The sequence below is a fragment of the Homo sapiens genome, chromosome 3, assembly GCF_000001405.40.
Source record: "Homo sapiens chromosome 3, GRCh38.p14 Primary Assembly".
NCBI lineage: Eukaryota > Metazoa > Chordata > Mammalia > Primates > Hominidae > Homo > Homo sapiens.
Genome location: NC_000003.12, coordinates 119,712,483 through 119,739,833, shown reverse-complemented (window position 1 = coordinate 119,739,833; position 27,351 = coordinate 119,712,483). Strand labels below are relative to the sequence as shown.

The 27,351-nt window shown below is 39.0% G+C and overlaps 1 protein-coding gene across 4 annotated transcripts in view; it reads right to left on the bottom strand.

The window, feature by feature from the left end:
- The window catches only part of CFAP91 (cilia and flagella associated protein 91), a 64,081-nt gene that overhangs the window by 27,269 nt on the left and 9,461 nt on the right, over positions 1 to 27,351 (bottom strand). For all 4 annotated transcript variants that reach the window (NM_001320316.2, NM_033364.4, NM_001320317.2 and 1 more), the window contains 7 exons: positions 24,091 to 24,272; positions 13,486 to 13,663; positions 9,457 to 9,614; positions 7,358 to 7,540; positions 6,328 to 6,470; positions 2,352 to 2,468; positions 508 to 579 (listed from right to left, as the gene is read on the bottom strand). In NM_001320316.2, the coding sequence (NP_001307245.2) occupies positions 508 to 579; positions 2,352 to 2,468; positions 6,328 to 6,470; positions 7,358 to 7,540; positions 9,457 to 9,614; positions 13,486 to 13,663; positions 24,091 to 24,272 (1,033 nt within the window). The remainder of the gene's footprint in view (positions 1 to 507; positions 580 to 2,351; positions 2,469 to 6,327; positions 6,471 to 7,357; positions 7,541 to 9,456; positions 9,615 to 13,485; positions 13,664 to 24,090; positions 24,273 to 27,351) is intronic.

The following is a 27,351-nucleotide window of genomic DNA, read 5'->3' as shown; positions in this document are numbered from 1 at the left end:
AAAAATGAGACAACATATGTAGAGCAAAGAATAAATAGTGTGGGCATATAGTAAAGGTTCAAAACCATAATTTATTATTTAGCTCTTTCATTTATAATGTAGGGATTGCCAGACATATGCAAACTCAAATAATTGTATTATGACTGTGGAAAATTAGGGAATCCACCTGGTTGATAATGCTTAAATAGCCAAAATTCAGGTGAGAAAATGTATGGATTTAACAATTCCAAGGAAGAAGTGAGTTTCATACTGCCTTAGTTACAACCATGGCAAATAGCAGGTAGGTCCTCCCTGTCTCTCTCCTTGACACTGTGCCACCCACCTGGACAAATGATGCCATTAGAAGGAAATGGGTCACCAGAAGGAAATGGGTAGGCAACTCAAGAGTTTAGCTGAATAGGATAGCAGGGTGCAAAAGGGATTCACTCCAAGGAACCAAGCACATATGCATTCTAAAAAATTTATTCTCAAAAGAGAAATGCAGGGCCAGCGGTTGGACCTACACACCATGTTCTGAACGACTCTGCCCCGGAGTAACTTTTGAAGGTAGATCACAGCCATTTCCATTTCTTCTTCTTCCTAAAAGAACAAAGGGAGAACCAAGCAGCTTGAGAACTGCAGTAGTCCAAGCATCAAATATTCTTTTGAAGACTTATTTCAAGCAAAACAGACTGTGCTAGATGCCAAAAAGATTTAAAGAGAAATAAAAGATGGTCCCTGCCCTTATTGAACATATAGTATTTTAATGTTACTTACATTAGAATTCATTATTTTTCATCATTAACAAATCATATTACAAGCAAAAAATTCACTCCCTGCCATGCTATCCCTACAAATGAAACCACTTTCATTTCCCTATATTCCTTTCCAGCAAAATATTTCTTAAAGCAACAAGTATTGCATATAACATCATTTTGCAATAGGATTTTTCATGTTTGATCATCAGTAGACACAAATACAGCTAGTCTATGTCAGAGTAAGGTACTTCTCACAAGAATTTAGCTATGCTGATAAAATCAGAATATAAGAGACAAGGTTAGCCATCTATAAAAATCATCTTAAAAACTCTGTGTCCAAAGCAGAAAAAGCAGGGTCTGGAAATCGAATTAAGATTCCTTTGAATGTAAAAAGAAAACAGCAGTCTAATCGATGACATTAACACACATGAAAGACGATGTGTTGTCAGGCTGGGCACAGTGGCTCATGCCTGTAATCCTAGCACTTTGGGAGGCCAGGGCAGGTGGATCACCTGAGGTCAAGAGTTTGAGACAAGCCTGGCCAACATGGCAACACCCCATCTCTACTAAAACTATAAAAATTAGCTGGGTGTGGTGACACATGCCTGTAGTTCCAGCTACTCATAAGGCTGACGCAGGAGAATCGCTTGAACCCAGGAGGCAGAGGTTGCAGTGAGCCAAGGTTGCACCACTGCACTTCAGCCTGGGTGACAGAACGAGATTCTGTCTCAAAAAAAAAAAAAAAAAAAAAAAAAAAAAAAAAAGACAATATGTCAACCAAAGCCCTGCACAAAGTCTAGAAAAGAGAATGTTATCCAGCAGCACATCCCCGCTGGCTGGTGGGAGCTTTCTGGTCCCTCTGCAGGAGCCACTCATCAGAGGTAGTAACAGGTGTTAGCATGGTCTCCCACCAACACCTGCCCTCAGCCAAGAAACACATCAGCCTTCTGAATACAATCTGGCTTCTTGTGAGGACTGTCCCATACTGAGAGATAATGTGCTGACCAGCCAAGAGGAACAGCCTGATCCAGTAGGCAGTTATAGTTCTCTCTGTAAAGTAATAAATTTGCATCATGGCATCTCTAACAGTTTCCTGTGGATTTGTTTAGTCTGAGTCAGCCCTCTAAATCCTAACCAACTCTGATACTTTGCTCAAATTGAGTCTGGTGAGATGTGGCCCTGGGCAGGGCTCTTTGAGTCATTCCCACCCCAGAAGCAAGTCCGTCTTGATGACACCTCTGGCATTTCATTCCTCTTCGACTCCAACAGTCATCAGCCATCTCTCCATGTGGGAAGATAGCTATGGTAGCTGATCATCACTCAATCTTCTTTTTCTATTTCATATACATGAGCACTACCTTCTGATGCTGATTTTTCATGGAAAGATTTTTTAAATTGTGTTTTTATTTTTGAGAAGGACTGGGTTTAGATTTCATTTCATCTCGTTTGTTTTTCTGTGTCTGATGTTTGATACATAAGAATAAAGACAATATTTAAGTCAGAGCTTGGGAAACTAACACTGCTAAATTAGATTTGCTTTAAGCTAAACTATCCTAAGAATAAGCTGACAATGATATTGAATTTAGCATTTCAACTAAAAAGTTTCCAACTTACATTGGACGTCATTTCCAAGGTTGGAGTTGGAAGCCGAGGTTGAGGTATTGGGTTTCTTTGAAGGAAGCGAGGGGGTTTCTTTACTTCAAGAACTTTATTCTTCTTATCCAACAGTGCCTGAAATAATGCCAATTAATATAATCTCTTTTTTTAACAAAAATTTGCATAAATTTAAGAGGTAAAAGTGCAGTTTTTTACATGAATGTATTACATAATGGTGAAATCTAGGCTTTTAGCATACCCATCACCTGAATAATGTATATTGTACCCTATATTTTCCTTCATTACCAGATCTAGGTCACAGATATAAATATTAATCAGAATATTAATATTCTCTATGGTGATGCTAGGTCAGCTTGAGAAACACTAACAAGAATGTGTGTATCTCTCAAGACGTGCTATGATATTCCTAAAAATATATTAACCGACCAGCCTGATGACCAACATAGAGAAACCCCATCTCTACTAAAAATACAAAATTAGCCGGGCATGGTGGTGCATGCCTGTAATCCCAGCTACTCGGGAGGCTGAGGCAGGAGAATCACCTGAACCTGGGAGGCAGAAATTGCAGTGAGCTGAGATTGCACCATTGCACTCCAGCCTGGGCAACAAGAGCAAAACTTCATCTCAAAAAACAAAAAAAAAAGTTAACCACTGACTAGACATGGTTATATTCTTGGTGTATTCATCAAATGATGAGTAGATAAATAAAATGTGGTATATCCACACAATGGAATGTTACACAATCATAAAAAAAGAATGAAGTACTGAGATGTGTTAAAACCTGGATGAACCTTAAAAATACTATGCTAAGTGAAAGAAGCCAGACGCAAAAGGCCATATACTGCATGACTCCATGTATATGAAATGTCCAGAATAGGCAAATCCATAAAAAGAAAGTAGAATAGGCCGGGCGCGGTGGCTCACGCCTGCGATCCCAGCACTTTGGGAGGCCGAGGAGGGTGGATCACGAGGTCAGGAGATCAAGACCATCCTGGCTAACACGGTGAAACCCCGTCTCTACTAAAAATACAAAAAAAAAAATTAGCCAGGCGTGGTGGTGGGCGCCTGTAGTCCCAGCTACTCAGGAGGCTGAGGCAGGAGAATGGCGTCAACCTGGGAGGCAGAGCTTGCAGTGAGCGGAGATCGCACCACTGCCCTCCAGCCTGACAAACAGAGTGAGATTCCAACTCAAAAAAAAAAAAAAAAAAAAACAATAGAAAGAAAGTAGAATAGTGGTTGCCAGGGGCTGAGGGGAAGGGGGAATTGGAAGTGAGCACTATTAGGCATGGGGTTTGTTTTGGGGATGACAAAAATATTCTGGAATTAGATAGTGGTGATGGTTGCACAGATTTGTAAATATGCTAAAAACTACTGAATTATATATTTTTAAAGGGTGATTTTATTGTGTGCGAATTACATTCCCCCCGCTCCCCAAAATAAAGGGGCAAACAAAAACTGAAGGAATTCATGGCCAGCAGACATTCCCTGCAAGAAATTATAAAAAAAAAAAAGTTCTTCAGGCAGGAGAAAAATGTTATAGATCAAAAACTTAGATCGATATAAGTATAAGAAGAGCAGAAGAGAAGGAATAAATAAAATATATTGTTGTTCTTATTTTTAATCTAAAAGATAACTGTTAACTAAAGCAATAAAAGTAAAAAAGTATTGGCTGATTATATATAGCACTTGGACGAGTGAAATGAATGACAGGAATATCACAGGGAAGGGAAGAAGGAGTTGGGAATAATCTGCTCTAAGGTGCCTGCTCTACCCATCAAGTGGCACAGTGTGATTTGAAGATGTACTTTTATTATTTTACATGTATAATCATATACTGGTCCACAAAGCAAGCCTCATGAAATTTCAAAGGATAGGTATCACACAGACTATGACCTCTGATCACAATGCAATTGAGTTAGAGGTTAATGAGAAAATGAGTTAAAATTCCTGCATATTTGGAAATTTTAAAACACACTATTAAATACTCACAGATTAAAAAATCATAATGGGTTTTTTGATATTAGAAATTAAGAATGACAAATACTACATATCAAAACTAATGAAATGTACCAAAAGTCAGTATTTTGAAGGAAATGTTTAACCTAAAATACTTATATAAAACAGATGAATGCCTGAAACTGATGAGCTACATGTGCAATTTAAGGTAAGACCTGTGAAACAAACCCTAAAAAAGTAGAAAGAAATATAGAATAAATATAGGAGTATAAATTAATGTGATTAAAAATATAACACAGAAAATCAACAAAATCAAAAGTTCATTGTTTGGAAACATAAATACTAAGAAAATAAGCAAGCCTTCAGTAAACTTGATTAAGGAAAAGAGTTAAGGCATAAATAAACAATATTGTAAGTGAAAAGAGTAGACATGAATAAGATAAAACAAACATTTAAAAGATTATAAAACAATACTATCAACAATCATATGCCAAAAAAATGGAAAAGGTAGGTGAAATGGAATTTATAAAAAAAAATTTACCAAAAATAATGCAGAAGAGTTCTATAAGTTGTAAAGAAATTGCAGTAGTGGTTAAAATTTTTCCTATGAAGAAAACATTTGTCCCAGATAATTTTATATGCATATTCTACCAAAGTGAAGGAACAAATCATCCCAATCTTATTTAAACTCTTCTCAAAAAAAGAAAAAGGAAGGAATATTCTCAAGTTCACTTCAGGAGACCTGCGTAATTATAACACCAACCCCATACATAGTCAAAATGAGAAAGAAAAACAAGAAGGTCATTTCACTCATGAATGTAGAAGCAAAATCCTAATCAACATATGAGTAAATCAAATCCAACAAGGTATTGAAAATAAGCTGTATGCTCTGACCAAGGCAGGTTCATCCCAGGTATGCAAGGATAGATTAATATTTATAAACAATTATAAATGTTACTACAATAATTAAAAAATATACAAAAATTGTGTGATAAACATTTGATAAAATTCAACATAAACACATGATTAAAGGCTTTAGTAAATTAAGAAGAGAACTTCCGTAACCTAATAAAAAGAATCTATAAAAAAATCTTAACAGAAAGTGACAGAATGATGAACACAGCATTCAGGATGGGTGAAAGGAGATGGGGGCGTGGGGATGAGGTGGGAAAGAACCACCTCGATATACATAAATTACTGTTAAGGTCCTGTTTTGAGGATAGGTTCCCATCAATTTTTATTAACTACTAAAATCAACTGAACAAACAAGCATGCATGGGCCAGTGATGAGAGTGTATTATAAAACAGTGGGCCTCGAGGTGTGGTTCCTGGACCAGCAGCAGCAGCATCACCGGGAAACTTATAAAAAAGGCAAATGCTCCAGCCCCACCTCAGACCTACTGAATCGGAAACTTTGGGGATGGAGCCCAGCTGCATGTGTCTTAACAAGTCCTCCATGAGATTCTGATGCACAGGAAAGAATGAGAACCACCAGCATAAACCACAGATTCTATACACCTATAGTCCAGCTACCAAAAGGGAAAGCCCAGCTGGTGGATGACGTACTGTGAGTCTTGGTGAAGGCTTTAACTAGAGCCTTTAGAGCTTTAACTACATGAGAAAGGTGTTGAACATGACTCTTTTTCTTCATATGCCCTGATCACATGAACACAAAAGGGAGAAAATCGGGCCTATTATAGCTATTAACACCAACAATAGAAACTTGCTACACCTTAGTATAGCGTCAAATTTTATATAGAGATCCAAGTGGAAAACGCTTTCAGAAAGTAATATGACCTCTGCAAATGGGGAAAAAAATCTCCAAGAAGTCTCCTGAAATGTGAAATGAGGGGAAATACACATTGGTTCAGCACAGCATGGGCAACCTCAGAAAAGTGCAGAGCAGAGAATGTAGGTCTATGTTTGACCCACTGGACATTGCTGCAATTTTTGGAGTGTAGCATTTATCTGCAAAAATCATACTAGAAGCATTTTGTCCTCCAGATAATGATTATACCTTATGAACCTCTGCCAACTCATAGTCCAACCTTGCTGCCCTCTTCAGAAAACCAGCTTTGGTGGTAATGACTTTAGGTTTTGGAGCTCTGATTTGGGGTTGTGTCACAAAATCTGGGAGACATGACTCAAGTTCCACTAATCCTATGGGAAGGAAGCACATGTTTTTAGTATCCAGTGCTTACGTTTATTATTTTTAAGGTATATTGTTAACTTTTGTAGCTGTTTGCCAAGCAGTTTCATTAGAATTGTTGAGAGGGTGTATCTCATATAATAGAATGAAGTGTCCCTGAAATGTAATAGCACATTTCCATATAATTAACTCATGTTGTCAGTGACTTAGACTGTACAATGAGAAATGCATTCTAAAGTGAAAATATTGCCCTACAAAAAAGTAGCAATTCCACAATAATAATCAACAGAAAATTAATGATTCTATGATATGTGGTGCCACCCTTCTAAAGTAGACGTTCACCAATTTATTACATTTTGCTCTGGAGATGGCCAGCCAGAGCTACAAGTTCAGCAGTGTAACCAGCAACTCATGATCTTGGCCATGTGATACTTCAATTTGTCAGTGAAATTAAATAACTAAATAAGCCTCTTTTGAACTTCATAAGAGGTATAGTCCTCTCCGTGAACTTATCACCTGGTTCTCCATCCTCTTGCCCACTAGTTTTTTGACATTTCTTTATAAAAGGTTGATTTCATTATACATATTTCTTGTTGGCTTCATAAACCTGGAATAAAACTTTTCTCAATTTCATTGTTAAATAACTTTGATTATTAGTGACATTAAACATTTTTTTAACATTTACTAGCTAATTGAATTTGGTCCTTGCTGAACTGTTCTATAGTGTGTCCATTTATTTATTTGGGTCTTAGTAGTTTTTATTGGTTTGTATCATCAGTGTTTATTGCAAATATTTTTATTGCTTAGCTTTTAATCTAAATTTCTACATTTTATATATTTAATCATATTTCTGAGACAACCTTCTTATACTGGATTTCTAATTATGTAAATTGCTTACCTTCATAGGTGTTGAGATAGTAGTTTTTTACTACAAAGTCCTCTGAGTTGTTGTCTGGGAAACACCCAAGACGAGACAGAGGTCCATAGACCTGTGATGCATAATCAGAATAATCCTTGATGATATTTCTTCTCTCCAACTTCCCTTCTATATTCTTTCTCTTTCCTACAAGTTTTCTGATTGCTGAAATAAAACATACCTCCATGACTATCTCTAAAATATTGTTCTGAATTACAAATGCAGAAGAGTAAGCCAATGCTAGTGTTATTCACAGAGAAGCTATTGAAATGAATGAATTTCCTGATGACTCACGACAGCCAGAATGTAACATTAAAAACAGAGATCTGCCATCTGTGTGGCCCAGATTGTCATGAGACAGGCAGGAGTGACAGAAGCAGAATCAGCTAGTGTCCTCAATCGGTACTCGTCAAAAATCTTTTATAACTGCATTTCAAGCTCCAGGCCAAGAAGAGGTATTCAGTAAAAGTTTGTTAAATGAATGAAACTCAAAGCAACTGGAAAATACATGTTCAGTGGGGAACTAGGGAATTATTCTCCCCTACAAGGATAATCAAAAGCAAAGACTACAGGTTCATCTTGGTTAACACCAAAATAAACCAAAGACTGTCTCAGCTTACAGCTTTCTGAACTGTTTGGCAGTCAGAGGGAAAGGCTCAACTGTGCACATCAGGAGTATACTCATCTAAAGAGTCATGCTCGCCACCTCCTGTGCTCCTTTTCTCTCAAATCCCATCACAGACCCAAGACCTTTTGGCGGCTCTGCATTGTGCGTTTTCAATGGGGGTAAAAATCTTATACAAGATCGTGACGTCATGCTGCAAGAGGGGGCCTGTGTGCCACTGCTGTCTTGGGGATATTGTTTATGTTTGATTCTCAGCACTTCTGGGTGTGACTTGGGTTTTAGAATTAAGTAAAAATGATTTAAATGTTATTATTCACCTACAAAAATTAGTCAGATCTATCATTAGTTATGCCAAGTACTGAAACAAATGTTGATTGTATCTAAATAAATATCTAGCAGTTAAGTGCTCTTTTCTCAAAAAGAAAAATTTTAAATTTAAGTTCACTAAACATAATTTTAAGCAATAATTTGTTTTTGTGATTGTTTTGTTTTTGTTGGAAAAATAAGTTTTGAATGATTTTTTAAAATGTGATTATATTGTGAATGAGTACATATATAAATAGTCTGCACATGTAATTGATACTATTTATTTATTTATTTTGAGACAAGGTCTCTGTCACCCAGGCTGGAGTGCAGTGGTGCTATCACAACTCACTGTAGCCTTGAGCTCCTGGGCTCAAGCCATCCTCCCACCTCAGCCTCCAAGTAGCTATGACTACAGATGTGTACCATTACATCAGGCTGTTTTTAAAAAAAATTTGTAGAGACGTGGTCTCACTATGCTGCTCAGGCTGGTCTTGAACTTCTAGCCTTAAGCAATCCTCCCACCTCAGCCTCCCAAAGTGCTGGGATTACAGGTGTGAGCTACCTCTCTCGGCCTTAAATTTTTCAAATATAAATTTAACTTGAATCTTTAATTCAGTCATTATTAATCTTGCAGTGAATAAAAATAATAAACCATATACTTCCTCTTTTCATGTATAAAGTACAGAATACATATACATATAGTACATAAACATATATATGTTATATCTGCGGTATTAAAATTTCTTGTAGCAAGGTGATTAGGAAAAAGGATGTCTAAAATGTCTCCTTTAAGGGCAAAATGAAGAAAGGGTAAGAAACAGGGCTCTTTATCCAGGGCTGTGGACCATGAATATGGGGAACCCAACACTTATCCCACCACACACACACACACACACACACACACACACACACACACACACACACACTATCTCAGTAACTCGACTACCTGTTAGGACACCATCACTTGATTTTCTTAGTAAGGGAATTTCCTCCATTCTTCTACCTTTAAGAAATAACTCATCTCTTAGCCCTTACCTATGTGATTCCCAGGACCAAAACAGAATTATATCATAGTTAAGTCAGGTTTGGTCAAAGATCCAAAGCAAAGCCCACTTTTCCACCGTCTTCATTGTTCATACTACACCATTACTTGATACATGCGTGCGCTGAATTTTTGCCATTTTTGCCTCTTTTCCCTCCTGCAGTTTAGACCACCGGGCATTCAAGTGCTTCATATTCACTTCATTCTGATTCTCTTCACGCTTCCTCAACAGCTCTTTTAGAACTTCCAGGCGAATCTCCTGCAGTCTTCAAGTAAATTACAAAACATAAAGAAGCATATGGCATCTCAAACAGAGGGCAAGGGAACAGCTGCCACAGACAGGCTCTTCTCTGTGGGCTGCTATCATATTCATGTATTGCCAAAAGACCACTCTGGCAAAAGTATGACAGATGAATTGAGGGCGTGGGGGAGGCAACTCAATAGAGACTCTCTATATAATAGGAATATATATGGGTGTAGTTCTCAAGGATGAAGAAGATTATGCCAGGCAGATGGGGTAAAAGAAGGGCTCTCTAGGCAGGTGGGCCTAAAGGAACAGTAAGAGGTTTGTGCACAGTGCCAGGTTGAGTGGTATTCCTGGAGGGTTACATAATAGGGGGAGTGAAGAGGAAATGCGGTTCTGGCATGCTATCCTAAGGAGTGAGGTGAAAATGCCAGTTCCTGGCATATAATAGGTACTCAACAAATGTTTGTTTCCTTTCCTCCTACCTTCAACTTGTTCTCCTTGGGCTACCTTGCTCATGTGCATCCAACAATGCACAGATGACTGTTATCTGTACCTCCAGCTTAGATATTTCTTTTTTCTTTCTTTTTTTTTTTTTGAGACAGAGTCTCGCTCTGTTGCCCAGGCTGGAGTGCAGTAGCCTGATCTAAGCTCACTGCAGCCTCTGCCTCCCGGGTTCAAGCAGTTTTCATGGGTCAGCCTCCCGAGTAGCTGGGACTACAGGCACCCACCACCACACCTGGCTAATTTTTGTAGTTTTGGTAGAGATGGAGTTTCACTACATTGGCCAGGCTGGTCTCGAACCCCTGGCCTCAAGTGATCCCACCTTGGCTTCCCAAAGTGCTGGGATTACAAGCGTGAGCCACCATGTCCAGCCCAGCTTAGATATTTCTGAACCAGAATTTCCATCTATTTGAATCTCCAGTCACCACTTGACAATTAAAAAAACAAAACAAAACCCTACTCATTTGTTCCCCCAGAAGTCTGACCCTCTTACACCTTCTTCCCGCTGCTAAGGATCTCTCCTCGGCAATGCTTCTTGTATTCCCTGGCTCATGTCTGGTCATATCACTCCTAAAGTGGACTCCTAGCTGCTAGTCTGTCCTCCTTCTAATCTTTGCTCCACCCAGCTGTCAAGGTTTTCCTTCCTAAAACAGAGATTTGAACATACATTTTACTCCTGCTTAGAAATTCATACCTGAATTTATTCACTTATTCATTTGTCAAATATTTATTAAGTGCCCACCATATGCCAGGCAGGAACAATGATGTACAAGATAAAACACCTTCTCTCAACAAGCACTGTTCTGGTGGAATAGGCATAAGAACCGACATTTCCCGCACAAGGAGATACATACCAGGCTAGAAGAGTGAAAACTCTTCGTGGAAGAAGAAAGGATAGGGCAGGGGGAAAAGAGGGAACAGGTGGGGAAGCCTTCCTTAGAGGAGCTGTTAACTCAGGGTTGGGATTTGCTACATTGACAAAGGAAAAGCAGGGCCTCAGCAGGGGAAGCTGAATGTTCAACTCAAAAGGACTGGAGGGACAGCAAGATGTCACACTGGCAGGGTTTCTCAGAGTGAATGCACTTGAGAGGGGCGAGAGTGTAGTGACAAATGAGTATGGAGAGGTAGGCATTTTTAAAACTAAGCCACACACCCCAGTCACCTTTCTCTTTAGAGTCAGAAATGCTAGGTTCAATTTTCCATGTCACCACTGACCTCAATCTCTTCAATGGTAAAGTGGAGATAATAATAGTACCCTCTTCATGAAGTTGCTGTGAGCATTACGTGAGTTAATGTATACACGAAGTGCTCTAACAATAGTCTCAAATTTAAGAGTGCAGCATAATCTGGAGGGCAGGTTCTGACACAGATTGCTGGGCCTCAACCCCTGATTCAGTAGGTCCTGGGATGGGGCCTGATCACCTCATTGCTACCAAGTTCCAAGGTAATGTTGATGCTGCTGGTCTGTGGACCACACTTTGAGGTCTACATGCTTAGAACATCATCTGGCACATAGTAAGCCCTCTATAAGTGTTCCATGCTCTATAGATATCTTCTTCTTCATCTGATATCATTGACAGAACTCCTTATAGTCCACTCGTCATCATCATTATCATATTATTATTATTGACAGAGCTCCTTACCATTCACTTATCTGATATTGACAGAGCTCCTTATAGTCCACTAATCATCATCATTATCATCATCATCATCATCATCATCATTATCATCATCAATCTGATATTATTGACAGAGCTCCTTATAGTTCACTGGGGCAGGAAGGGGCAGGCAGATGGGCAAGGAGACGGTGCAAAAAATCTCAGACCAACACTTCTCAAGTATTGGTCTACCTGATAGCTTCTGATATTATTGTCTGATACTACTATCTGCCTGATGGCTTCTTACCTACCCTTCAAAACCCAGCTCAGAAGCTACCTCCTCTTAGTAGTTTTCTTTCTCAAATCGCCCACTTTAAATAGAACTAACTGTTCTTTCACCTGGGTTCCACCAAGCACTTTTTGTACAGAACAGCACATCACCTGATAGACACAGCCTGAGAGGGGTTGATCTAACTAAGATCTTTTGTCCCTTCCTTGTCCACCTTCCCTGCTCCCCCTGCCCCAGTGGACCATAAGGAGCTCTGTCAGGAAGAGCAGTTTCCTATTCATCCCTATTTTCCCAACTCACAGCACAGAGTCTAGCATGTAAAAGGGACTCAAAATACATGTATTAAAATTGCCCTCAGTTTAACAAATGTACTTGCTTTCTCAGATGACGTTTTCACTCTGGCCAGATACATTTTTAACAGTTTTAATGCCTTTTGAAAAGACACATATCTTTCCAAAGTACAATAATAAATTTAAATTTCTGCCAACAGGATTGGGTATTTGACACCTACTTTGCCCAAACACTATTTTTTTACTAAATTGCAAGCTTTTATCAAAACATCACAAAGCCTAGATTCAGGCTTAATCTGAAGGTGTTGCAAAAAATTTAACATATTCCAAATTTAGCACCAAGCTGAGACTCTAACTCTCTAGGTCCCTCTCTTGTGTGTAAGGGTCCTTGGTAGCATTGCTTAGAGCAATAAAGTGCGTCAGCACAGCCTAGCACAAAGGACAAACTCAGCAAACGCCCTTCCTTTGTTCTTGCTAGAGAGTTATAATTTTTTGGTTCTCATAATCTCTTATCATTTCCACATATCAGCAACAACTCCATTACTGAAAATATATCAGTTAAAATAATTGAAAACCCAACCACAAGTACCTCAGCATATTGTTATTTATGTATATTGTTATATACTCATCTCTTAATGGAAGAATTCCATAATTTGTCTTTTAACTAGGAAATGCCCCATCAGCTCTAGCTAGCACGCAAGGCATCCTGACTGTGAACCCAGTGTCTTGGGTCGGGGTGGGGGGTGGGTAAGAGCTAGGACTAGTGCCAAGGCTGTTTGAAGGGGTATGAAGAAAGCCCAGGCACTGGGACAGTGGCGCTGGGAATGAACATGAAGGGACAGTTTGAAAGGTGCTTTGCAGAAATTAGTGGGATTCTGTGACAGTTAAGATAGATACTAAAGAGAAAAGGGAAAAGAAGAATCAGAGATGCCCTTCAGGAGTTGTTCAAACCTGGGTTCCATGCTGAGCTTCTTCAAACACACAGAGGGCATTCTACATTTTAATGTTTTTGGAGGGAAAATTATACAGAGCTTCTGGACCACATCAGAAGCATGTGACTGCTCCTGAAAGAACCGGATGCCCAATTTCCTATCTCTATAGGTTGAGGATTGCTTTTCAACCCATACATTTGGGAGAATGCTTTGCAGATATAAAGTATTAACATTATTCCCACCAGTGCAGGAACAGTTGTCTGGGTGATAGAGAACCTACTTTTCAATCTCCTGCTCTCTGAAGGCCCACTCCTTCCTCTCCATTTCATTCATCATTTTCCTCCTCTTCTCAAACTGGGAGGTGTCACTCAGAGCGGGGAGAGAGGCTTCCCAAGCACGCTTCTCGCGGGCTCTTTCTATCATCTCCACCTCAGCTTGTCCTGCTGGGAGACCCCGACCTGCAGGATAAAGCAGCACAGCTTAGGAACAAGTGAGCTGACCCATGCACCCCCCAGTATATAATTAACTCCCTGTCAGTTCCTTTCCTCTTCTCCAAATTCAAGGGCCATGACAGCATAACATGACATTAGGGAACAGCCTCTAGATGTGCCTCACAGCTTGTGTTATCTGTGCCCCACTGCCTCTTGCTAGTAATTGAGCCGTAAGACATTTTAGTTGCATGTAGAATGCTGGAATGCATTTGAAGAATATTAAGTGACTACTGAATAATCACACCTTGGAATGCTCTGTAATAAACAAATTTATATACTGAAATACAAGGCATTTTCAGAGCCCTGAGGTGGGAAAAATATGGGGTAAGGAATTTGTTCGATAAAAGTGAAAAATATATACTTTTTTTTTTTCTTTTTTGTGAATCAAGGTCTCACTCTGTTGCCCAGGCTGGAGTATAGAGATGTGATTACAGCTCACTGTGGCCTTGACCTCCCAGGCACAAATGATCCCCCCACCTCAGCCTCCCAAGTAGCTGGGACTACTGGCATGTGCCACCACACCTGGCTAATTTATTTTTATTTTTTTGTAGAGACAAGGTTTCACCATGTTGCCCAGGCTGGTCTCAAACTCCTGGTTTCAAGCAATTCTTCCGCCTCAGCCTCCCAAAGTGTTGGGATTACAGGTGTGAGCCACTTGGCCACATACTTTTTTAAAAAATAACAGAAAATGAAGACACTAATCACTAGCTGAGAATTCACCATCTTTGGGTTTTGTCCCCATAGTGAATGTAAAATTTAGGGCTATCTCTTACCTGCAACTTTAAGCATTCAAAGACACAATACCTGTAGGTCAGGCAGGAGGATGTGGCCACTGGATATGTCTCCTGACCAGCTCCGAGACACTGGCTGAGACCTAAGCCAACGTATGCCTCCCTGGATCAAGTTTTGAGGATGCCAGCACACTTAGGTGCCTAGCACCTCTAAATGTGGCCTTGCAAAAGCAGGTAAAGGAAAGGGAGGCTGGAACAAGTTTCCTGTTTGATCACTGAACCACAATAAGCCAACCTTTGTTTTATTTTCATTTAAAAATATAATTATACAGAAAAATCTAAGGAAATAAGTAATAGGTCATATTTCTACCACGTACAGTAGGGCATGCCTAAGATTTGTGTCTTATTTCAGATCTTTTGCAATGTTTATGCTTTTAAAAAGCAAATAAGTAATATATGAATTCACTATCTCTTGTTTTTAATATTAGGGTATTGTTAGCCAGGCGTGGTGGTGGGCGCCTGTAGTCCCAGCTACTTGGGAGGCTGAGGCAGAAGAATCACTTGAACCCCAGAGGCGGAGGTTGCAGTGAGCCAAGATCACTCCACTGCACTCCAGCCTGGGTGACAGAGTGAGACTCCATCTCAAAAACTAAATAAATAAAAATAAAATAAAATAAAATTAGGGTATTATAGAGAAGGCTAAAGTTCTGTACTCTGCTTCCTCATTCTGATCACCTTCCCAGAGGCAGTCACAATGATGCATTTGGTGAGGAGTAATACCACCAGCTCATCTTTTTACTTTTATAGATGTATAAAGAAGTAAATAAATCTGTATACAAAATACCACATATATGTATGTGTATATATGTATATATATGTATCTACATATTATTTGGTGGGTCTTGCGTGGCATTTTCTTTAGTAATTTAAAAAATAACTATGAAAATCATACCATAAATATGCAGACTTAACAACTGTACACATTTTGTCATATATACTTCACATTTTTTAATAAAAAATTGAAACCTTATAAATAAAGCCGATGTACCTTTTAACTACCACATTGAGCCCCATTCCCTTCTCCCATTTCCCCAAGTAAACACAAAAAGGAATTTGTGGTTTTCTATTCAATCTTAACATTTTATATACAAATTTATGTGTCTATGAATTATAATAATAATAAAACCTAACATTACTTAAGCATTTTTATTATGCCAAGCACTTTTTTTTTTTTTTTTGAGATGAAGTCTTGCTCTTGTCACCCAGGCTGGAGTGCAATGGCACGATCTCGGCTCCCTGCAACCTCTGCCTCCCAGGTTCGAGTGATTCTCCTGTCTTAGCCTCCCTAGTAGCTGGGATTACTTACAGGCACCTGCCACCACGCCTGGCTCATTTTTTTTTGTATTTTTAGTAGAGACAGGGTTTCACCATGTTGGCCAGGGTGATCTCAAACTCCTGACCTCAGGTGATCTGCTAGCTTCAGCCTCCCAAAGTGTTGGGATTACAGGCATAAGCCATCATGCCTGGCTATTTAAGCACTTTTATTATGCCAAGCACTTTTCTAATGCATTTAATCTTCAACAAATCCCTATCACATAAACATAATTACGCCTGTTTTACAAATAAAGATACTGAAGGGCTAAAAGGCTAAGTAACTTGCACATGGCAGTCTGAACCTCGTATTTTTGTGCACTATACTATACTTCCTGTCTAGTAAAAGCAAATATGAACCAAAAATGAATTCTATAGAAGCAAGACACAGTACTGATGTTTATTTAATATTTACATACATGGTATTGTACTATAGCTATTCATTCTGCAGCTTGCTTTTTTTACTCATCTTTGTTTTGGAAGCCTAGCTGTACTGATATATACAGATCTAGTTTCCTTCTTCCACTGTAAGGCTTTATTACAATTTAAGCTATCTATCTTCTCAAATGACATTTAGATTGCTTTTAATTTTTTGATCATACATAATGTTGCAACAAACATCCTTGTACTGGTCTCATTGTACCATATGTGAGCTTCTCTAGGATTCTTAGAAGTAGAAATGCTAGAGTCTAGCAGCTACATCATAAAATATGATTATTTTTAATTCTGGATATTGCTTAATTTACCCTCAGAAGTATATTTTTGCCCCTGCCTTCTGAGATCCCCTAATGGTTCCTCTCCCACGGTGCATGCTTCACTTCCTCCCACATTGCATCTGCCCAATCTCAGCTGCTTTTTGCAGTCCTTACAAATATTTACTGGTTCATGAATTACATATATTTTTAGTTTTACTGAAAATGGAGTTCGTGGGAGTATTGTTGCTTTTGCTTTTGTATAATTTCTGGGAAGAGAAGATGAAAAGTGCTAATTTACCCAGGCATAGTTATATTGAGAGTGGGAATCTGGATTAGAACTACTCGAAGGTATAAATTATTTGAGGGAGAAGTCTTATCTATTCAAGCATGAGTTTCCCATTGATAAATATTTTCTCTCTTTTCACCAAATCTTTGTTTATGTGCTTAAAGAATAATTTATACTTTTCACCATAAATCCCTTGTACATTTTTATTAAGTGATTCCCTAGGCACTTTGTTATTCATTGCTACCGTGCATGTAATTTTTTTCAGCCAAGTGCGGTGGCTCACCTGTAATCCCAGCACTTTTGGAGGCCGAGACAGGAGAATTTCTAGGTCCAAGAATTGGAGACCAGCCTGGGCAACATAATGAAACCCCATCTCCACAAAAAAATATATTTTTTTAATTAGCATGGCATGGTGGTGTGGACTTGTGGCCCCAGCTACTTGGGAGGATGGGGTGAGAGGATCACTTGAGCCATAGGGTTTGAGGCTGCAGTGAGCTATGATCACATTACTACACTTCAGCCTGGGCAACAGAGTAAGACTCCATCTCTAAAACAAATAAATGAATGTAATTTTTTTCAAGATTTTTTTCTTTTTTTTGGCAGAGTCTTGCTCTGTCACCTAGGCTGGAGTGCAGTGATGCAATCTTGGCTCACTGAAACCTCCTCCTCCTCGGTTCAAGTGATTCTCCTGCCTCAGCCTCCCGAGTAGCTGGGACTACAGGCATATGCCACCATGCCCAGCTAATTTCTCTGTATTTTTAGTAGAGACGGGGTTTCACCATGTTGGCCAGGCTGGTCTTGAACTCCTGACCTCAGCTAAATAATTTTTCTCTTCTTTTTCTTTCTTTCATCTTCTTCCTTTTTTTTTTTTTTTTTTAGAGACAGGGTCGCACTCTGTTGCCCAGGTGGGAATACAGTGGCAAGATCATGGTTCACTGTACACTGTAACCTTGAACCCCTGGGCTCAAGCAATCCTGCATCAGCTTCTTGAGTAGCTAGGACCACAGGTGTGCACCACCACACTTGGCTAATTTTTCTTTTGTAGAAATGGAGGTCTTACTATGTTGTCCAAGCTGGTCTCAAACTCCTGGCCTCAATCAATCCTCCTGCCTTGGCATCCCAAAGTGCTGGGATTACAGGTGTGAGCCACTGCACCTGGCCTCAACAATTTTTCTAATTGGATATTTCTCTCATATAGGAAAGCGACTGATGTATGTTGACTTCTTGTTGAACTCTCTTTTTAGTTCTGATAATTTATTTTTCTAAGAGAGCACGTGTGCAAATAAGGATAGTTTTGCTGCTTCTTTCTAATCGCCATGCCTCCATTTTTCTCTTATCTTGCTGCACTGACTCAGTGTTCCTCAACCAGGGTGCTATTGCCATAATGGGCAGATAATTATTTGTATGAAACTCCCCCAAGCAGTACAGGATGTTTAGTATCCATGCCAGCCTATCAGCTATACCCTGTCCCACGAGCTAAATACCAGAAGCACTTCCTATCATTATTACATAGAAAAATGCCACTCATATTCCCAAATGTTCCTGAAAGGAGAGATCATAGCCAGGCTTGATAAACTCTGGGCTAAGATCTCCTCTACGTTGTTAAATAGTAGTGATAATGAGCATTACCAATGTCTTTTTCTTTTAAGGTAAAGCTTCTGAAGTTTCACCTTTAGTATGATGTTTATTACAGGCTGTGGTAGATATTCCTTATTAAGTCTCTAAAGTTTCCTTCTGCTCCCAGTTTATTCAGAGTATATGTCATAAATGAGCACTGCATGCTATAAAATACTTTTTCCTGCACCCAGAGGATTTTTCCTATGTTTTCGGTTAAAATGGTAAATTACATGAATGGCTTTCTGGTATTGCAACAAACTTGAACTTCTCTGATTAACTCCATCTGGTTATAAGTCACTCTTTTAAAATACAGCAAGATTAGATTGCTAGTATCTTATTTAGAATTTTTTTGCATATTTCTTCATATGTGAGATTGGCCTGTAAGTTTCCTTACTAGTATAGTTGGCCCTTCATATCCATGGTTCTACATCTGTGGATTTGACCAACTGCAGGTTGAAATTATTTTTTTTTAAACTGTGTCTGTTCTGAACATGTACAAACTTTTTTCTTGTCATTATTCCCTAAACAATACAGTATAATAACTATTTATGTATAATTTACATTGCATTAGGAATTATAAGTAATCTAGAGATTAAATATATGGGAGGATGTGTGTAGGTTATATGCAAATGCTATGCCATTTTACATAAGAGACTTGCGCATCCAAAAATCTTGGTAGGGTTGGAGGGTCCTAAAATCAATGTGCTACCAATACTAAGTAATAACTGTACTGTCCTCATTCAGTTTTCAAATTAAGGCTATACTGGTCTCATAAAATGAATAAATTAACTTTTATTCTGTGTTTCCTGAAAGAAGTTGCATAAAGCAGTTTATTTGTTCCTTAAAGGTGTGGTAAACTTACCTGTAAAACTGTTTAGGCCTGGTGCTCTTAAAAGAATTTTTTTTTCTTTTTACCAGGTCAATTTCTATAGTTACTCTTCTATTCAGGTTTGTGATTTCTTCTTAAAACCAACTTAGTAATTTACATTTTCTTTAAAAATTGTATAATTTATCTAAGTTTTCTTTTCTTTTTTTTTTTTTGAGACAGAGTCTTGCTCTGTCGCCCAGGCTGGAGTGCAGTGGCATCATCTCGGCTCACTGCAAGCAGAGCCTCCCGGGTTCACGCCATTCTCCTGCCTCAGCCTCCCGAGTAGCTGGGACTACGGGCGCCCGCCACCGCGCCCAGCTAATTTTTTTTTTTTTTTGTATTTTTAGTAGAGACAGGGTTTCACCATGTTAGCCAAGATGGTCTCGATCTCTTGACCTCGTGATCCACCTGCCTCAGCCTCCCAAAATGCTGGGATTACAGGGGTGAGCCACCGCGTCCGGCCCCTAAGTTTTTTTTTTTTTGATTTATGTATTTGAGACGGAGTCTCGCTCTGTCACCCAGGCTGGAGCACAGTGGTGCAATCTTGGGTCACTCACTGCAACCTCAGCCTCCTGAGTAGCTGGGATTACAGGCACCCACCACCACGTCTGGCTAATTTTTGTATTTTCAGTAGAGACGGGGTTTCACCATGTTGGCCAGGCTGGTCTCAAACTTCTCACCTCAAGTGATCCGCCTGCCTCAGCCTCCCAAAGTGCTGGGACTACAGGTGTGAGCCACCACGCCCAGCCTTTCTAAGTTTTTAAATATAGGGCAAAAGATATTCATAGCACTCTCGTATTTCTTAAGTTGTTTATTCTGTAGTTACTCTGTCCCCCTTTCTATCCCAATACTCTGTTTGCATCTTCTGTCTTCTTTCTTGATGCTTCCTACAAGAGGCTTGGCTGTATTATTAATCTTCATTAGAAAATTACTTATGGCCCTAATGACCATTTCTTTTGCCTTTTAAAAGATCTGTATTGTCAACTATTTGTTTCAACTTTATTATTCATTTAACATGTGAAGACTGAATAGGTTTAAAATGTAAAGCACTTGGATCAGTTCTTGACACATCATAAGCACTTAATTTTATCCCCGCAGTGCTTACAGTGTCATCCTTTTTCACTGTCGTTATTTTTCCCTTATCTTTATGTAAACTTTTCATGAATGTACAGCATACATAAACAAAAACAAACATCCCATATAATCAGCACCCAGATCAAGGAATAGAATATTACCAGAACACTAGAATGCCCATGATACTCCCTTCCCAGTCACTACCTGTCCCAAGGATAGCTACCATTCTCATTCCTAATGCGTTAATTTAGTTTTGACTGGTTTTACATTTTATGTAAATGAAATCACAGTGTAGGCACTCTTCTGTATCTTATTTTGTTCAGCATTATATACGCAATTATATACACATCTACAATCTCCCTTGTAATCACATGTAGTTGTACTTCATTCTCATTATTATATAGAATTCCATTATGTGAATAGACTATATTTCATTCATCCATTCTATGGTTGATGGACATTTGGGTTGTTTTCAGTTTGGAGTTATCATAATTAATGCTGCTGTGAGTTTTCTTGTATATGTCTTTTGGTGAACACTCCTATGCATTTCCGTTAGCAGAATAATGTGCTCATTTTTTTTTTTTTTGATGTATACTTAGGAGTGAAATTGCTGGATTGTAGGTATGAACACATTACATAAATAAATTTACTTAATCCTTACAGTATCCTATGAGATAGATATTCTTCTTATGTATGAAAATGTCTTTATCTCGCCTTCACTCCTCAATAATAGTTTGCCTGGTAAAAGAATTCTAGGTTTGCAATCATTTTCCCACAGCACCTTAAAGGCAATACTACAAAATATCCATCTTTTTTTTTCTTTGTAGGTAATCTGAGTTATCTTTCTAATAGTTTTTCTAATAGTTTTTTCACTTTTTCTTTCTCTTTTATTAGGAGGTGTGAGTTTTTAAAAAATCATTCTGCTTGGTACTCAGTGGAATTTTTCAGTGTGAAGGCTAATGTCTTTCTTTAGTTCTGGGGAGTTCTCAGCCACTGATTCTTGCATTGCTTCTCTACCATTTTCCCTATACTCATGTCCTAGCCCCCACAGCTCTTACTTTTCTTTTATCTTGTTCTACCACTATATGTTGCATTGTGGAATATGTGTCCATTTAATCTGTCATTTCACTAATTTGCTCTTCAGCTCCGTCTATTCTACTATTGAGTTCACTTTATTTCAAACGTTATAGTTTTCCTCCCCCTTGATTCCAACTGGTTCTTTTTCATGACTCCCATTCTTGTTTTGGTGTTGCTATTTCCCCCTCATCCTTTTGAGAATATAGAAAGCACTTCCTAAGTCCTTTTCAGACTGCTCCATTTTCTGTTTACTCAGAAATTTATTCTTCCATTTCCTTTATTTGTTGTGGGTCACTCCTGGTGTCTCTGTTCCTTGTGTGCTTTGGGGTTCTTGGGTGGAGACCAGCTGCAGGTTTCTCTCATAAGCACCCTGGTCAATAAGCAGCCTTGACCTGCGAGTGGCTACTACCTAAATTCATTCTTAGAACCCTGCTCATCACCACAAGGTGAGGAGTCCAAGGCCTCATGCCCACCTGGAGCTATTTCCAGGTGGTCCTGGAAATCCTTCTACAAATGGCCCCGAGCCTGCTTCCAAAGGTTCCATGGGCCTCTTCACAGGATTCAGATTCCTGAGAGCATACTATATGCTGCTGTTTCTTCACCCTGAAGCCCAAGGTGGGGCCAAATGGCAGCTGTTCGTAGGGATGTGTGAACATTGAGAAGAAGAGCTGGGGTAATCACGGGCATGCATGACAGGCCCCTCAGATGTAGAGCAGAGCCAGGGTGGGGAGAGAAAAGGGCAGGCCACAGCAGGCTCTCACCTCGCTGCTGCATTACAGTATGGAATCCCAGGAGTCTAAGAATTCCAATTTAAACTTGTCCTTTTAACTTGTTATAAAGATGTTTGTGAAAAAAAAAAAAAAAAAAACCAACGTATTTTACTTAACAGATATTAGCTTGATTTATAATTTTAAAATATCTATACATATGGTAGGTGGGCCTCCCTTAGAGTCCTGGGTCCCACAAATGGTAGGAGTAGGCCTGTCTCATAGAGGCTTTTATTGACACTTTAACTTCAGTTCTGCTATGACAGTGTACCAGATTAGGTTGTTTTTTTTGTTTGTTTTTTGCCTAATGAAGCATTTCTGAGCCTCTGCCTGGCTCTTGTCCTTCTGCAGTTTAACGCCAAGTCCTTATCACACCAAGAGGTAAAGTCCAAGGCCACAGGCAGGAATGCCTGACTCTGCTCTGTCTATAATCTTTATTGGGCAGGCACCAGGCTTCAGTTGCACCAGTGTGCAGGAGAAGGGCGCTGGCCCCTCACCTTCAGGCAGGTGACTTGGACCTGGTTCCCTGCCATGCACAGCTCCTACTCACCACCAAAGGTTCCCAGCTACTTCTTTCTTAGGAAAAAGTCTCCATTTCTACATTACGAATATTTTCTTTCTTGCTTTTAAGTGTGTCTACATGTTTATTAATTTTTTCCTGTAATTTTTATGCATTCAGAGCAGAAAGGGAAGGTTTCAGCATATTTTTAATTTGCCATCTAGGCCTGAAAGTAGAGCCTCTGCTTTAAAGTACGGGTGTTGGGCCAGGTGCGGTAGCTCAAGCCTGTAATCCCAGCACTTTGGGAGGCTGAGGTGGGCAGATCACGAGGTCAGGGGATCGAGACCATCCTGGCTAACACGGTGAAACCCCACCTCTACTAAAAATACAATAAAAAAATTAGCCAGGTGTGGTGGCATGCACCTGTACTCCCAGCTACTCGGGAGACTGAGGCAGGAGAATCACTTGAACCCAGGAGGCGGAGGTTGCAGTGAGCCAAGATCGCACCACTGCACTCCAGCCTGGGCGACAGAGTAAGACTCCGTCTCAAAAAAAAGTATGGGTGTTGATAATGCTTAATCTGGATTCATAAAGTGGGCCAGGAAACAAGAATCAAAACTAGAGCCCAGATATGAACATCTTCTTTGTCTGGGACGCAGACTTGATCACAGCTATCTGTTACAATGCGGGGGAAAGTAATCTCATTTAAAAATCATTACCATGAACCAACTATCTCTATGTCCTTGGAGGAATTAGTTAACCTCTCTGGTTCTCAGTTTCCCAGCTATTAATACAACTAAGTGAGTTACATAAGCTAATTTCTAATAATTTCTAAAGGTAGTCTCACTTATTAATTTTATAGGTTCACATAATATAGGCCTAGGCCAGATTTTATTACATTCTAAGAGTTAATTTCTGAGCCTGAAAGATATTTAGCATTTCAGAGATAATGTCAAGTCATCCAAATCATCTAATAAAGTATATAAGGGAGGATTGGTAAATTAAGATATTTTGGCAAATTAAGATAATATGACATACATAGGAATGTGCATTCAGTATTTTACACTCAAAGCTTATGTTTAAAGAAGTATGATTGCTCAATGAAAAGGAAGTGGTTCACTAGGAGAGAGAAATGAGAGGACATAGGTGAGTAGTCAGCAAAGCAACTGCAATATTAAGCTGAAATTCAGCTTCACAGATAGAGTACGATAAAACTACTCACAATAAAAAGATAGTATCTTTATTTGACCAGAAGTATCAGAAAAATTATGAGTCTATGAAGTTGCTGTACTAAGACACTTTATATAGCAACACTGTAAACCACAATTGCCTGTACATGGGCCATTTGAACAGCATGCGTGGTTATCAGCATCGTCATCTGCCAATAGTCAGGAGATTTACCAACTCACCCCAAGTAAGCGTAGCCAGGGTCAAGAGCTCAGGGATTGAGTCCTGACATACTACATATTCTGCAGAGTATGGATCTGTTTGAACGTCAGCATCCCGATAATCAGTCTGAGTGCCCACAGTAGACTTTGAAGGGATGGATAGGTGCTTAGTAGAAGTAGGAGGAAAAGTGTATGGTTCTGCCCTAAAAGAGAAAAATCAGTTTAAAAATTGAAACCTGTTATGGTCACTTAAAATATTATATAATCAAGTAGAAACAAATCTTCGAAGCTTTGTCAAGTCCATTCCTCTTTTAAATGTTGACAGGTACAAAATCATGAATCCATTATAACCAGGATTATGCGCACAAATCTTGAGAGAATTGCCTTGTTATTCTCACCTCTGCCAGGAAACTAAGTGGGTCAAAGTACCATGGTTGACCCACAGAAGTGCCTATTTATATGTGTGTCACTGGGCAAGGTTGTAGAACAGAGCTATTCTAGAATGCTGTACAGCACTTCTGAACCTGTTCAGCATTACTACATTCTCTGGTTTCTTTCTTCTTTGTTTCAGTTCCATACCACTCTCTGTTTCCCTCCAGAAATATGGGAGCAGAGAAAAGAGAAGAGATGGTTTCTGCTGAAAGAAAGAGAGAGAAAAAGGAAGGAAGGGAGGAACCAAGGCAGGCAGGCAGGCAGACAGGCTCTATCTGGATAAATGATTCAATAATTAATGCTGGGATCACTTTGTTATTAACATGTGGGAAAGTTAGCTTGTCTCTTGCAGAAAAATTAATTCCAGATCTTTAAAAAAATTAATGTAAAAATGAGACTATAAAAGTACTAACAGGAAACATAAGTCAATATTTATATCATCTTTGAGTGAAGGTCTTTTTAAGCCGGGCTTAAAAGCCAGAAACCATAAAAGGAGATGATCAATAGAATTGAGGGTAAGTTTCAACTTCTATGCCTCAAAATATCACAAACAAATTTAAAAGGTGAATGGCAAACTTAGAAAAAGGTTTTGGAACATATATGATAAAAAGTTTAAATAGCCTTTCTATATAAAAAGCCCTTGTAAATCAATTAGGCAGTTAAATACCCCATGGAAAAATGAGTAAAGGAGAATTCACAAAACAAAAAGTAAAACTTCTAACAAACATATGAGAAGATAATGAAAATAACTAGTAATCAAAGAAAAGTAAAACAGCAAGATACTATTTTATGCTATTTTATCACATAAGCAAAGATTTAAAAGACTGAAAGTACCTAGCATTGATTATGTTGTGAAGAAACAGGCCTTCTCATAAACTGTTGATGGAAATACAAATAGGTACACCAAATTGACAAGTTAAAATACGCTTTGCTCCAGCGTTTCTTTCTTTTTTTTTTTTTTTTTTTTGAGACGGAGTCTCGCTCTGTCGCCCAGGTTAGAGTGCAGTAGCGCGATCTCGGCTCACTGCAAGCTCCGCCTCCTGGGTTCAGGCCATTCTCCTGCCTCAGCCTTCCGAGTAGCTGGGACTACAGGTGCCCGCCACCACGCCCGGCTAATTTTTTTTTTGTATTTTTAGTAGAGACGGGGTTTCGCCATGTTAGCCAGGATGGTCCCGATCTCCTGACCTCGTGATCCGCCCGTCTCTGCCTCCCAAAGTGCTGGGATTACAGGCGTGAGCCACCGCGCCCGGCTGCTCCAGCATTTCTACTCCTAGGAATTTATTCTAGGAAATAACTGGACAGGTATTCAAAGATATATATGCAAACATGTTCATAAAGTCTCATTTCTAAGAGTGAAAAATTAGAAACTTAAATGATCACATCAATACGAGAATTGTTTAAAAAAATATGAAACAGCCATAATGGAATTTATGCAGCTATTCAAAATAATAATGTAATCTATACCTGTGAGCATTCAAAAATATCCATGATTCATTGTAAAGAAGAAAAAAATGACACTATTAAATGGTATGTATAGTAGGATTCCATTTTTACATTTTAAAACTGTGTTTTTATGCATACAAAAATACCTAGATGTATATACAATAAATTAATAGTAATTATTTCTAGATGGTAAAATTATACAGATAATTTTTTTCATCTTTATACTTTTCTGAATCTTCTTTTTTAACATGTACATGCATTGCCTCTAGAATAAGAAAAAAACCAATATAGCCACTTTGACTTAAGGCATTTTTTTCAAGTTGGTGAAAGCATTGATTAAATTACATAAATAACTAAAGATGAAGGCAAAAACAAAGAGATATTTCCATTTTGAAAAACAGAGGCAATGGTAAGAGCTTATATACGAGCACAGCAAATACATACACCAAAGATGTTTAAAAAAAAAAAAAAGGGCGAGGTACAGTGGCTTATGCCTGTAATCCCAGCACTTTGGGAGGCCAAGGCAGGCGGATCATGAGGTCAGGAGTTCGAGACCAGCCTGGCCAACATGTGAAACTCCCTCTCTACTAAAGATACAAAAAATTAGCTGGGTGTGGTGGCACGTACCTGTAATCCCAGCTACTTGGGAGGCTGAGGAAGGAGAATCACTTGAACCCTGGAGGTGGAGGTTGCAGCGAGCCGAGATCACGCCACTGCACTCCAGCCTGAGTGATGGAGCAAGACTCCATCTCAAAAAATAAATAAATAAATAAATAAATAAATAAATAAATAAATAAATAAATAAAAATAAAATAAAAATTTTTTAAAAAAGCATTTCAAGCCAGTTAGAAAGAAATACCTGTTTGGAAGTTCAACCTGTGCTGGAGCAAGTACTTTAAATAGTTGTTTTTTTTTTTTGTCTTGTTTTGTTTTTTGAGATGGAGTCTCACTCTGCCACCCAGGCTTGAGGACAGTGGCGTGATCTCAGCTCACTGCAACATCCACCTCCCGGGTTCAAGTGATTGTCCTGACTCAGCCTCCCAAGTAGCTGGGATTACAGGTGCCCACCACCTCACCCAGCTAATTTTTGTATTTTTAGTAGAGTCAGAGTCTCATCATGTTGGCCAGGCTGGTCTCAGACTCCTGACCTCAAGTTATCCTCCTGCCTCGGCCTTCCAAAGTGCTGAGATTACAGGTCTGAGCCACCGCACACGGGCTTTAGTTTGTAATGCTGAACTGTAACTGCTATTGAAGTCACTTTCCAATAGTTGCTATAAATTTCTAACATGTAGATAATATATGGCTTCTTATGTTTTCAGTAGAAATTATTCTACTATAAAATTCTAGTTGAATAAATAACTTCAAATCAGCTTTGTCATCCGAAGTCACATGAAGTTTTATTATATT